Source organism: Homo sapiens, chromosome 15 (genome assembly GCF_000001405.40).
Source record: "Homo sapiens chromosome 15, GRCh38.p14 Primary Assembly".
NCBI lineage: Eukaryota > Metazoa > Chordata > Mammalia > Primates > Hominidae > Homo > Homo sapiens.
In genome coordinates, this window is record NC_000015.10 from 32,108,400 (window position 1) to 32,122,451 (window position 14,052).

The 14,052-nt window shown below is 48.3% G+C and overlaps 1 protein-coding gene across 7 annotated transcripts in view; it reads left to right on the top strand.

Annotated features, from left to right (window-relative positions):
- CHRNA7 (cholinergic receptor nicotinic alpha 7 subunit) overlaps positions 1 to 14,052 on the top strand; it is a 142,536-nt gene that overhangs the window by 77,917 nt on the left and 50,567 nt on the right. For 4 of the 7 annotated variants that reach the window (NM_001190455.3, NM_000746.6, XM_011521178.4 and 1 more), the window contains one exon: positions 3,391 to 3,500. The exons of 1 other annotated variant lie outside the window; for it this stretch is intronic. In NM_001190455.3, the coding sequence (NP_001177384.1) occupies positions 3,391 to 3,500 (110 nt within the window). Of the gene's footprint in view, positions 1 to 3,390; positions 3,501 to 3,837; positions 3,965 to 14,052 lie in introns of all 7 variants that reach the window. 2 more of the 7 variants (XM_047432126.1, XM_047432127.1) reach the window with 2 other exon arrangements.

Here is a 14,052-nt window from a genome sequence, read left to right on the forward strand (position 1 = left end):
TCCCCACTCTGTGGAAAACGTGTCAGGTGCTGTCTACAAAGATTTTGTCTGATGCCCCCTGTTCCCGAGGGACCTAGGAACCAAGTGCTTTCAGAGAACAACCTTTTTTCTAGAAGTTTGTTGTTTGTAGGGCCTTATTCCATATCCATTCTTGGGAAACCGTCATGGGAGCCTGTGGGGGTTGCTGGTGGGGCCCCCGGGCTCAGGATTGTGGACCTGGGCTCCAGGGCACACAGCATGAGGTTCCCACTGCATGTTGGCACTCAGTCTTCCCCACCCTTGGCTGCAGCTATGTTATGACTGTTACTACAGCTCCCAAGTCCAGCAGGATTTTGTAAAATGGGGAAATCTCTCTCTCTTTTTTTAAGCCACCATTCATCACTTGCCTGCCAGGGCCATATGACTTTAATCTGCTGCTGCACACATTATCTCATCTCATCCTGTGAGGCAGGGTACATGTAAGGAAACTGCAGTTCAGAGACAATGATTTACCTGAACAAGCTCACGCCGCTAGTCTCTGCCAGACCCTTGGTGCAAACCCAGGTCTGTCTGATGCGGATGCTTTTGGCAGCTCCCCCTACCTTTTCTGCCACTACGGTTACCTGAAAAGGGTTCCGATCCAGACCCCAAGAGAGGGTTCTTGGATCTAGTGTGAGAAAGAATTCAGGGCGTGAAAGTAAGTTTATTAGGAAAGTAGAGGAATAAAAGAATGGCTACTCCATAGAGAGAGCAGCCCCGAAGGCTGCTGGTTGCCCATTTTTATGGTTATTTCTTGATAGGCTGAACAAGGGGTGGATTATTCATGCCTCTCTTTTTTAGACCATGTAAGGTAACTTCCTGATGTTGCCTTGGCATTTCTAAACTGTCATGGAGCTGGTGGGAGTGTAGCCATGAGGATGACCAGAGGTCACTCTCGTGGCCATCTTGGTTTTGGTGGGATTCAGCCGGCTTCTTTACTGCAACCTGTTTTATCAGCAAGGTCTTTATGGCCTGTATCTTGTGCCAACTTCCTGTCTCATCCTGTGACTTAGAATGCCTAACCATCTGGGAATGCAGCCCAGTAGGAGGTTTCAGCCCTGCTTTACCCAGCTCCTATTTAAGATGGAGTTTCCCTGGTTTAAATGCCTCTGACACAATGGTCAGCCTGGTTTGGGGCAAGGGAAAACAGCAGATGGGCAGCAGCATCAGGGAGATTGAGCCAGAAGAACCAGCTCTGGTAGAACCCAAAGATCAGTTTGCTTAAAGTCAAATAACACAGGTAAGCCCTGACCCAGTGACTGACTAAAACATCCTAGCTTTCTGAACCCTGGCGTCCTCTTGTAAATGGAAGCAGTCATATCACTGACCCCCCCGAACTATGGTGAGTCTGCTATGGTGAGTCTGGACATACACAGGACACTGGACTAGCATAAAGGCTGTGATCTGGCCGGGGAGGGGATGAGCCCGTGGTTTACGCAGTGGGGTGTGCGGGGTGTGGGGAGGCAGCGTACAGCTCTGGCTGTGCCTTGGACGAGGTCTGGGTTTGACCATCCAAGCACTCCCATTCCCATTCCCAGTTCCTGTCTCCCCTCCCTCTCTGGCCATCATTCAGCAGGCAGAGGAGAAGGAGAGAAGTGCCTTGGCCTACCATGCCCACTTTCCAGGGCAGTTCGTGGAATCTTGGGGCCCTGACCTGTGTGGTAATAATGGTGAACGTGACTGGCTCTGTGATAATTAGTGACCGACACAGAGAAGCATCCCAGGGTGAGATGCAAGACTGTGGCACAGAAAGCACAGGTGTTGGCTGTGGCAGGGCCTTGTGCCCAGGGCAAGGGAGAGAAATGAAGGGAAGCACAGGGCAGAGGTGCCAAGTTGGAGCAAGCTGCAGGAAGCATGGCTTGGTTGGTGCCCAGGCATTCCTGGAAGACAACTAGGACAAGACCCACCATTCCTGGGTGTGCCCCTCCTGTCCCCTCCCCAACCACTTCCATCTCATTAGAGACCCCAGCAGGCAGCTGTCGATCCTGAATGCCCCAGAGGATACTTCTGCACATCACCCATTAACACATCCTCATTCCTGGAGGTCCCTGGCTGCAAAATGATGTCACTCACCTGGATAGTTCCTCTCCTTTGATGTCAGATTAGATCCTTCCAGACTTGGGACCATCTTTCTGGATGCTGCCTGCCCTCCTCAGAGAATGGTTGGTCTGGGACATGCCCTTTGCTTCCCTTGTTGTATCAATAGCTCTAGGCCCACAGCCCCTCATCTGCAATTCCCAAATCTCAGCAGCTCTGAAAATTTTTCCCCCTCCTTTGATGTTGTTTTCGTAACTTTGCGTCAAATTATTTTGGTCTAAAATCAAATTGAAATCTATGTGAATTGAGGCATTTATTTGTCTCACTTAGTGCAAATAGGCATGTTTTGCTGCAGAAATTACCATGTATTTGATTGTGAGGAGCCACCCTGGTCCCAGGTTGGGGTGGTGCATCACATACCTTTCTGGATCTTGGAAAGCCTGAGCTTCAGAGCATGGGTGGTACCAGGGGGACAGAATACAGGATAATGGTGCAATTATAGGAGCTTCTGGGCTCATACTTGTCAGCCCTGAGCCTCCTGTGGGGTGGTGCTGGTTATGTGGCAGCTGCAGGTGGGATCCCACCCGAGCATCCTCTGCAGAGCTTGTGGGCTCCAGGAAGGGCTGTTTAGCACCTGATCCTCGGAGGGATGACCCCAGACGTGGGTATTCCTCTGGCAAAAGTCACTCGATAACCTCAATTAAGGCCTGGCCGTGAGCTTGTGTGAGTGCTTCCTGAGTCTTCACCTGCCTCCTTTCGTCCTGACTCTGCGTTTCACCATCAGGGCTCAGGATTTGCATTGTCGGGTGTCGGAAGCACTATCCCTGTGACAAAATAAAAATTCAAATCTGAAAACATTCCTTTAGAAATTCTGAGAGGTTCCCATGCAGCTGCACAGTATTGCTTTATGGAAATAAATATTCCACATTTCTCCAGCCTGGTTCTTAGTCCAGTGGAAATAAGTGAATTCCTTTTTTCGAAGTATTCTTACAGTGAAAACTTCTAAGGCAAAACAGTTATTCATTTGGCTAGAAGTAACCCATCTACTGCAGGAGGAGAAGGCTCGGGGACATGCAGAGGGTTGGAATTAACTTTAATGATACCATCTGAATGTGTTCATGGTGACAGCAGAACCTTAAATGTGAGTTTTATGCTCTTCACAGTCATTTTGGAAAGGATTTTTGAATTCCCATTTTCATTATATTTTATAAATAGCAATTCAGTTATAATAAATGTCTGGAATTCTCTTTGGTTTTGCACTTACCTAATAATCGCTTATGAGAAATATTAGTAGCCAAGGAAGTGAAGTGCTGCTAATGTCATTGTGTGTGTCAGTCTTGGACAGATCACTATTTACAGTGGAATGTGTCAGAATATCCAGGGGTGAAGACTGTTCGTTTCCCAGATGGCCAGATTTGGAAACCAGACATTCTTCTCTATAACAGGTAAGCATATTGAACAAAGGAAAAAAATGATTTTATGCTTGCATACATGTAGCTATCACGTATATTTGAATATTTCACAGAGATGCTGGATATGTTATCTATGATCTGGGGCCACTGCTCCCTACACGGCTTTCCGAGCGGCCAGGCCTTTGAGAAGCAGCTCTGTCCCTGTAAGCCAGCATTCCCTGGTTTGGCATGCACACGTGCACACGCTGGCTAGCCTGCTACTTAAGACGCCCATGAAGTTGTATGTTCTCGGGGCCTAGTGTTGTTTCTGTGCATATTGGCACATGGAGTATTCTTGCATAAGGCAGTACCTTTGTTCTCTGAATGGCAGCAGTTATGACCAACAGCAGGAAGTGCTGGCCTATGGGATGCACTGCTGGAGCCCACAGTTTGGACCCACATCCTCGTCTATGTTCCCTGTTGTGCATTGGAGAGTTCTGTGGCAGAGATGGCTGCAGGTGAGCGTGAGGACTGTCATCTCTAGCTGCATGCAGAAACTTCCCCTGCAGGGTATATACCTGATTTCTAATAGTCTTTCTCCTGAGGTCAGGAAATAAGGGACACGTCGGTAAACCAAGACAGTCTGACTTGCAGACCAGATGCCTAAAAGGCAATTATTCAGGCAGGGTAAGTTTCTAGAAGCAGTAAAATTTCTCGTTAAACTGCATAGTCAAATAAGGGATCCCAGAACATTTCTGACTAATAAGGTGTCAGACCTCATAAATAACATCATGAAAAGAAAGTTATTTCCTAATCATGACCGCTACCTTTGGTCATGAAGAAGGAAGCCCAGGCTTTCCTGATGCAGGGAACAGTGTGACCAAATTGCCCTCCATGGTCACTCGGTGATCCCGCTGGACAAGCAATGTGTTGTCCTACATGGCTACTTCCAGAAGGCTGGGCGATGCTATTTCTTGTATGGACTTTTCATTCTGCCTCTGTCTTTGCATCTGGGGGCCGGCCACATTTCACTTGAATCATTGGGCCCGTTTCTAGAAGAGTATCCTCTTCTCATTTGCTGCCACTTTTCTGCTTCTCAAATTAGTTCAGACAACTGAGCTTTGAAAAACGTCTAAAATAGGAGTAAGTGGTCCCCTGTTGAATGGATCAAACATGTGCCTTTCCATGCCTGGACTTTGGGTCTTCTGTTTCTTGGGGGGCTGTATTAGTTTGCCAAGGCTGCTGTAACAAAGTGCTACAGACTCAGAGCCTTAAACAATAGAAGTTACCCTGTCACAATTGTGGAGGCCAGAAGTCTGAATGAAGGTGTTGTCAGGACTGGCTTCTTCTGAGCCTCTCTCCTTGGCTGGTAGATGGCTGCCATCTCACTGGGTTCACGTGACCTTCGCTTGTCTCTGTCCGTGCCCTAGTCTCCTCTTCCTGTAAGCACTGCAGTCAAATTAGAGTAGGGCCCCATGCTCATGACCCTCTTTTACTTTAATTACCTTTTTAAAGGTTCTGTCTTCAAATAGAGCCACACTCTGAGGCACCAGGTATTAGGATTTCAACATGTGAGTTTGAGGGAGATGCAACTCAGTCCATAATGAGGGCATTGTATCTGACTTTTTGAGGGCAAAGGGTCAGGGTTGAAGAAGTCTCCGTGTTAATTTTAGCTGTAATATTTACAGTCTGTATAACCTTTGAGTCTCAGATTTCTCCTTTGAAAAACGGGGAAAGTGCCGGCTTCACAGAGTTCGGAGGATCGCTCTGTGGATGTGTGTAGCACACTTAGTCTGGCACTTGGAAAAGAGCACACATTCCGTAAAGGCAGTTGTGTGTTTACAGGCAGAATGATGAGGATTCCTGCTTTTAGAACAAGATGGTAATTTAACAATTTAGAAAAAAATAATCAATGTTTTTCATTTTCCAATTCGGATTTTTTAAGTTTGAAATCAAGAATAAATTTTATAACATTCAGCCTGAGCAATGTACGAGACCCCCATCTCTAACAACAATAACGACAACAACAACAAAATTAGCTGGGCATGGTGACCTGCACCTGTAGTGCCAGCTACTCAGGAGGCTGAGGTAGAAGGATCCCTTGAGCCCAGCAGTGAGCTTTGATTATATCACTGCTTGCCATCCTGGGTGACAGAGTGAGATGCTATCTCCAAATATATATATATATATATATATATGTATATATATATATATACATATATATATATATACACATACATACATACACACACACATATACACACACACATACATACATATACATACACACACACACACAGAGAGAGAGAGAGAGAGCACCCCACCATATTATATGTATAACATGTTGGTGGAATCTTATTAACACGGTTACAAGAGGCAGTTTATATGGCCTATGTGTAGGATCTTTAACTCCAAAATGTAAAATGTTTGATGATTCCAAATGCTCTGGCTAATGAGGAATTTCCAAGTTGTAATTGAATTTCAAGGAGCAAAGATAGAGCAGTCTCTACCTGACAAATGTTACCAGGGTCCAGGCCCTTAGAAATGATCCCCACCTCCACATGCCTGACCCAGCTGCCGGTGCAGAACCCCATCGCTCACACATCTGTTGAGCTCTACTGAAGGATCCTGCTCGTTCCTCTTTCCCATGGTGGACATAGACCACGTCCGCCAGGCTTCATCATGGAGGATGTAGAGGCTGCTTCAATTTCTGCTTTTGTTTTCCTGAGACATGGAATGTAGGACTTTCTTTTTGAAGTAACTACTAAATATATTTTGAAGTAACTGCTAAATATATGGCCCGCAGGTCCACATGAACCCAACGTGGAATGAATAGATTTCAGAGAATATTTAAACCACTCATAGACACTTATCTATTGCTACAGAACAAACTCCTCAGAACTGAGTGACTTAAAGCAAACAACTCAGATTATTCCTCATGATGCCGTGGGCTGTCCAGGCCCATGTGGCTGGTTGTCTCTTTCACGTGGCATTGGGCACAGCCATGGGCTGGGGCTCCACTGGGCCGATGTGCTGAGGGGTACACTTCCACAGCGGGGCAGGTCTGGGCTGAGCTGGTGGGGACGCCGGCCCTGGCAGGAAGCTCAGCCATTCAGCTGGGGACTGTGCACCCACCCCTTCTGGGCCTTTTCCACAAGGCTCGGTGTCCCCCAGCTTGGTGGCCAGCAGTGCTCTGACAGGAAGGAAGGAGAGGCTGCTGGGACTCTTAAGGACTGAGCGTGAGGGTCCCGCAACAGCCCTTCTCCACATTCTGTTGGTCAGAGTAGGCAGGAGCCCAGCTTGGAGTCAAGAAAGGGGAAATCAGCACCCCTATCTAGGGCAAGAGGGAGGCCACAGGGTGCTCTGGGGACACTAGTGATCACAGCTAAGGAAGGAAAGCGGTGGAACTGCAAGGGTCAAAGTAAAGCCCCAGGAAACCGAAAGACCAGAAGAGGCGTGCATTGTGAAGGGGAAGGCACGCTCCGCCATGTGCCTGCTGAAATTGGCAATGTGGGAGGAGAAGCAGGCAGGAGGAGAGAGCTTCTAAACAAGACAGATCTTGTCATCTCTGCCCCCCCTTGCTGGCTGGCTTCCCCTTCCTGCCTGGACACACTGTGCAGCCCCCAGGTATGTGCTGACCAGCCTATCCCTACCCTGTAGCCTCGTCCACTCTCCAGCCCTACTGCTTGTCCTTTGGCTCATTGATGCACCAATGCTTCCAGGCAGAGTGTTTATATGAGCGTCTTGCGGGGCGAGGAATGCCCACCCCTTAACTCCCAGTTAGCAAGGGAAACCTCCCTGACACCCTCACCCCTGCCAAGTCTAGAACACATTTCTCTGTCACGTAGAAAAGGATTCCTGTCCACGATGGCACTTAGGGTCTGCTACCTCTTAGGGGCACCTAGCAGGGCACTTGATACACATTTATGCAAAGACAAGATGGAGAGAGGAAGGGAGGGTGCAGGAATTATTAGGAGGAGGAGCGAAGAAGATGGATCAGTGTAATACAGTGCGGCTAAGAACAGCCAGAGAAGAAAGAAAGCAAAGGAAAGAAATCATGTAGGCAACCTAGAAAACATTCAACTGAGACTGAGTCCAAAAATTCACACAGGAAATAGCAAAAATAGTCTTCACTACTAATATCCTAACCCTCTGATATTCTGTTATTGGGGATTTTGAGAGATACCGAATTTAATGCTTTCTGCCAGCTTCTAGGCGTGGAAAATAATATGTTCTGCTTAGTAGACTCATCTGTTAGTTCATTATGGTCTGAATGGAGTCGAGGGGCTTTTCCTAAAGGAGGGGGTTAAATGCATCCTGTGTAAGCCCCAGTTTTGAAAGCAGTGTTGATGTAGCTCAGCTGAAGCCTCCCAAACATGTCTGTCCTATTTCTCACTCTATTCTCGTTTGATATTGGAGTCCCCACGTGAGTCACTATTGCTTTTTGAGATATAATGCATTTTCCATGCTTTAAAGTGGCTGGGTCACTGCAAAACAGCCATCTCTGCATCATTTGTGGAATGGGCTGCTGTATTTCCTTGATGGGTGGGTAACAAGTCATGCTGCTGCCAGCCAGCTGGCCAGGTCGCTCTGAGGAGAGGATGGGCACGAATAAAAGCGTCTCTGTCTGGTGCTGATCCCAGTCATTTCTTTGTTGCTTTATTTTGCTTTACTTTAAGCCTGCGGCTCAAGGAGTTTTCTGAACACCATCTTGCCTAAAGTGGGTAGCAATTATGGATGGCTTGCCGTGATTTTCCCCTTTGGATGGAATTAAAGGCCTTGCTGGGATCAGCAGTCCGCTTGCAGAAGGACAGTCTGAATCCCGCAACTCTGCGGATGCCCCTACACCGTGCAGAGACAGGCAACTGCCTCACCCTCTCTGGGCTTCTCTGTTTCTGAGTTGCTCGGTCAGAAAATTCTATTGCAATAATGGAAATCTTTTTTGATGAAGATATTTAAAGATGTTTTTGTTGGCTCTGAAAGTTTAGAACAGCATGGGGTTTCAGCCATCCATTTTCATTGAGTGTGCAAAGCTGCATTTGTCATCTGCAGGGTTGTGTCTTTCACTCATTTTCCTGACCCTGTGGCTGATAGCAGAGGCTGGAGAGGGGACCTCTATGCAGGACACACTTGAGAGCAGTGTGGCCAAGCCTGTAAGCACTCATAATTGTGCTCATCATTGTTGCCAAGCGTCTTAGGGAACCTGGGGGAGCCAACCCAGGACAAGGATTCCTGAGCATGTAGCTTATTTGGGAAGGGATCCTGGGAAGCAGGATGAGGGGAGGGGGAGTGAGATAGGGAGGGCAGGCAAGCCGTTGGAGTGAGCATTGAAAAGCAAATCATACTGCGGGCAAACAGAGCCCATTCCTACTGGGGAGCTCTGGGAGACTGTGTATAGCACATCTCAGCCTTGTTCTGAGGAAACTGGGATGCTTATCTGCCAGCTGCCTTCCATCATAGGCTGAGAGCTGCTTCCAGGGGTGTCAGCTCCCTGGCACCTCTGGCTTGCCTGCCCCATGTGTGGATCAAGTGCAGAGCTGCAGATGCTTGCAGTAGGCAGCTGTCAGGGCCTTGGGCACAGGAGGATGATTGTCGACATGGTCTGCTACAGCGCAGATGAGCCATCCACTCAAGTTCTAGTTGCTTTCACCCTGCTTTGATTGTAGATCCAATCTCAGCTTCTGGTAGGGAGCATAGCAACAATATGGGTGGAAGGGAGAGAGTCCTAGGACTTGAGGGTCCTAGGGGTGAGGGTGTTCTCAGCCAGAGCAGAGGAGGCAGGCAGGTGGCAAATTTCACTGGACTAAAGAAGAGCCCAAGCCTGCATCCCAGCAAGGGGTGCCTATTCTACGTGGGCTGCGATGTATCTATTATGGAGTCATGGCAGTGCACACATGGAATGGCATCTTAGGGAGTGAATCTGTGAGATGTAGTGTTGTCATGGTTAATAGCTCCTGAAATTGTGGTATCCCTCAGCCTAACCGAGATTGGCCTGCTGGTGCTCAAAGGCTCATAATGCAGTCATGGCCAGGCTCTTGGAGGGCCCAAGGGCATCACTGGAAGGTGATGTGGTTGCTATAGTTTGAATATTTGTCCTTTACAAATATTTGAATATCTGTCTTCTCCAGAATTTGTGTTAAAATTTAACCCCTAATATGACAGTATTGAGAGGTGGGACCTTTGAAGGCCAACTGGGTCATGAGGGCTCTGCCCTCATGAATGCTTTAATCTATTCATGGATTAATGGATCAATAGGATATCATGGGAATGGGACTGATAACTTGATAAGAAGAGGAAGAGAGGCCTGAGCCAGCACCTTCAGGCCCCTCCCCATGCGATGCCTGGTACCACCTTGGCACTACAGAGAGTCCCCACCAGCAAGAAGCCCTCACCAGATGCAGCTCCTTGACCTCGGACTCCCAGCATCCATACTGTAAGAAATGAATTCTTTTCTTTATAAATTACCCAGTTTCAGGCATCCTGTTATAAGCAACAGAAAACAAACTAAGACAGTAGTAGTTCCAGGTGAGCAGAGGTAATTTTGCTGCTGGAGATCTCAGAGAAGGAGTTTTGAGGATGTGCTGTTACAGCTTCTGTATTAATCAGATATTCACACCTGAGCTGGAGGGAGGCTGTTTCTAAATCATGTGTTGTGGGAAGAGGGGGAGCAGCAGCTTGTTTTAAAGCAGTGAGTGGAGCCAGCCAACCTATGTTTGCATCTTCAAAGTCATCCTCCGAACTGTCCATCTCACTCTCCCAGGTCTCATCATGGTCGCTCTTGCTGTTTGTTTTTAATTTGTTCATTCACTCAACCAATATTTAGTGAAGGCTCCCTCAGCATAATCACACACTGTTCTGGGAACTAAGGATTCAGCAGTGATCCAGCCAGACCCAAACCCACCAGAGAAACAGAGATGGGGAAGAGAGGAGGGAGGCATGGGCCAGATTGTAGGTGATCCCAGAAAAATGAAGCAGGAAAGGGAATAGTGAGGGCTGAGCCAGAGGTCAGGGAGAGACCAGGAGACAGACTAGAGGGCTGCAAAGGAACAGGCCCTGTGATATCAAGTGGAGAGAGTGTTCCTGACAGAAGGAACAGCCAGTGCAGGGGCCCTGTCAAGAAGGCTTGTGAAAGACTTCGAAATGCAAAAAAAAAAAAAAAATAGTGAGGGAAGAGAAAAAAAGACACCTCGGTTCCTACAGAATACTAGGCATGGTCACAGGCACCTTCCTGGTCATCTGAGTCTGTAGTGGACTGTGCCTGTCATGGTCTTCAAACTAGTTTTCAACTCTAACTTCTAGAAAACTGATGGCAAAACCAATGATTCTAGTCCACGGAGAAGCAAATGTGTTTTGCTGGTGGACCAATTCCCCTGTTGACAGATTCAGATCAGTGTGCCTGGTTGTCTTTGTATGTGTCTGCTTTTAGGATGCTCTGCAGAATTGGTTTTAACATTTTCCTGGTTCCTTCCTTCATTAATGACTTAAGTAGTCTTTGACACACGATCACTTTATATTTGTGCAAGTGTCATGATTTTATCTTTTAAAAAATCCATCAATTGCCCTGAGGCGGGAACATGCTATCCAGGTCTGTCCTAGGAGCAAATTCAGCTGCTGTGGCTGGAGAGAATTGGTGGATGGGGAAGCCAGGGTTCAGAGAGAGGGTCAGAGACATGATGGGAGGAGCTGGGGACCAAGTCGTGGAGGCCTTGGCTTTGACTGTGAGACAGGAGAGGCCCTGATACCTTTGACAGAATTTTTGTTTCAGTTCCTTTTTGCTTTGAACATTTTAAAAAAAAATATTTATTCATATTCTCCTCTTGACTTGTTAGCAATTGATTCCCATCAGGTGATTTTGTCCAGAAGTTATTATCTGTTCTTTTCTGCTTGTACACTCCTCCCAGCCTGTGGCAGTGGGCAGGTTTTGCTTTTGTTGTTTCTTCTGACATCTCAGCAAGAGGAAGGGAGGAAGGGCAAGTGCGTGTGTGTCCTTAATCAGCCTCTGATGGCCCAGCTGTTTGCCTCGGGCTAACTCGGAGCCCACCTGTCTGCACCAGAGTGAGTGGACTGTCGCTGGCTGACTGTTAATGCTGTCTGCCTCATCCGGTGCTTACTGAAGGTCCCATGCACTGCGTTCAGCCTACTTGCCCGCAGCTCCTGGTCTTCAGCACCCTGGAGCCAAGCCCCCTTTACTGGGCACTCGCCCAGTGCCAGCAGATGATAGCCAGGAAATTGTGGCTTTATGCCTTCTTTCTGGACTTTATGAAGTCTGTTTGAGTGTCCACAAATCTCAGGGCGGGAAGCTGGTGCTCAGAGAGGTTCAGCCACTTGCCCGAGGTCACTCAGCTGGGTCTGCCTGACTCCATAGTCTGACTCATTACTGGCCAGTCTCTCGACACATCAGGAAAGAGCTCGGTCTCTTGTGCTTTATTTTCTAAAGTTAAAAAGCAGAGAGATCCCCTTTCCCTCCCTCTGAGCTGGCTCCACTTTCGCACCTGCTCTGGGCTGCTCTGCCAGGCTCAGCCTTCCACTTCCTAAAAAGAGTGAGTTTGTTTTCTCTGAAGCTGCTGTGGGGTTTTCTTTTCTTTTCTTTTCTTTTCTTTTTCTGAAGCTGCTGTGGGGTTTACTGTCGCCTCTTGACTGATTTCACTCAGCATCTGACATTTTCTTTTCTTTGACCAAATCCCCTGCCAGCCAGTGTGGGCCACAGGGCAGTGCCACAGCAGAGCGTGGAATGACAGAACCCAACTGCTGTCTGTGCAAGAGTTTGAGCAGAATTTCAAGCAGAGGACAGGTGCTGCGGTGAATAGAATTTTGTGGGGATGGTGTTGCATTGAGGTGGCCTGGGTGAGGCTGTCTTCTGGCATGTGGCAACGGGCCAGTCCACGGAGCAGCTCCCCAACCCCCTGCACCCCCAAGGGCCCTGAAGCTAATCGTGCCCAAGAGCACGGCTTTTGGAGATGAGCTTATTGATCTTTGTGATGTGGAACACAGAGCCAGCACGGTTGTAAGGGCTGTGTGATAAATACATGAGACAGGAACTCAATGGGCGGTTCAGTCTTCATCATGAGCTGCCTGAGGGAGCAGTGCGGGCAGCCAGGTGAGGGCCAGGGTCCGCCGCCACCCCGCCCCTTCCCGAGCCTGCTGTGGGGTCCCTGCGCGTGTCCACTGCCCACTAGAGATGCGCTCTTCAGCTGTCTGCACAGGAGGAGACTTAGGAAGTTGTGTGTGAGGCATCAGAAGGCAGCTGGGCCTCCCCAGCATGCTAAGACCTCAGCAGTGCAGGGTGTGGGGCCCGAGCTGGATGTGCCCCATTGCTTGTATCAAAACCTGGAGAAACAGAGCTTTCCTTGTGGGCCAGGGCCACATGGTCGGTGGAGCTGATGCTGTCAGTCGGCCGGGTGGTATTTTCTGGGGACCTACTCTGTGTAAGACACTGTGCTTCTAGGAAGACGCACATTCACTGCCCTCGAGGCATGTGTAATCAGTAGCAAATCAGTTTACCGTGGGTGGTCTCATCTGACGTATTTTTGTGTCCTTCAGTGAAGTCATCTAAAATTACTCTGCTTCACAATTGAGGAAATGGTTCCTGAAATTAAATGGCTTGTTGACGCAGTTCTGAGGCCTTGACTCCACATCCTCGTGCCTTTCCCAGTCCTTGACAGGCTCTTTGTGGCTGTAAGACAAGGGCACAAAGTGCATCTTGCAGAGCAGAAGATGACGTATGTCAGGGACATAACATCTTAGAAAGATCTGGAAGAGAGAGAGCCTCATCCAGTGGGAGGGTGTGGGCAACTGTTCACGGCAGGGTGGCCATACGTCTTGGTCTGTCTGGGACAGCCCGGGTTTGTGCCTGAGGTCCTGGCACTGCTGTTAATGGTGCCTTTTTTCACTTTTAAGATGGGGCATTTCATGGAAAGATATGTAAGTTAGGTCATATGGCACAGGGCCCTTAGCGGGGAGGGGGAGAGATCACCTTGGAAGGGACTAAATGTGGCAGGATCCTCAATGCATATGCTTGGAATGAAAGGGAGAGGGAAAAGAACAGAATAATCAGGTCAGGGACTAGCTATAATCTAAGGAATTGCCACCAGTCCAACTGGACTTCTCTGGAAATCTGTCCCTGACGCCTGGCCACAGTCGCCTACTCTGGGCTGCTGTGTACCTTGGAGGACTCTTTGTAAACATCACACGATGCTGCGGATGTGAGTTTGATACTCTTGTTTTTCCCCACTGTCCAGTGAGCTCCTTGGGAGCAACCAAGTTCTATTCACATTTTGTAATCCCCCCAAGTTAGTGTGACAAGTAGCACATGGCAAGCAGCACATCGCAGTGGGTGAGGGACTAGTGGGGCCACTACCCTGTTCCAGGAGGGAGTTGCTGGAGGCCAGAACCTGGGCAGAACCTTGGAACTCAGGCTGTCTGGATCAAGAGAGCCATCTTCTAGCACCCTTAGATTAAAAATAAGTAAGTTCTGATTGTGTGGGGCAGGGATGTAGGGTATGGGTCCTATCCCGAGAAGCAAATTAGTCTAGAAATGATTCTCCTTTCTCCTCCACTACCCATACCAATCTATCTTGAAGGATTATGCATTTGAAATTACTCTAGT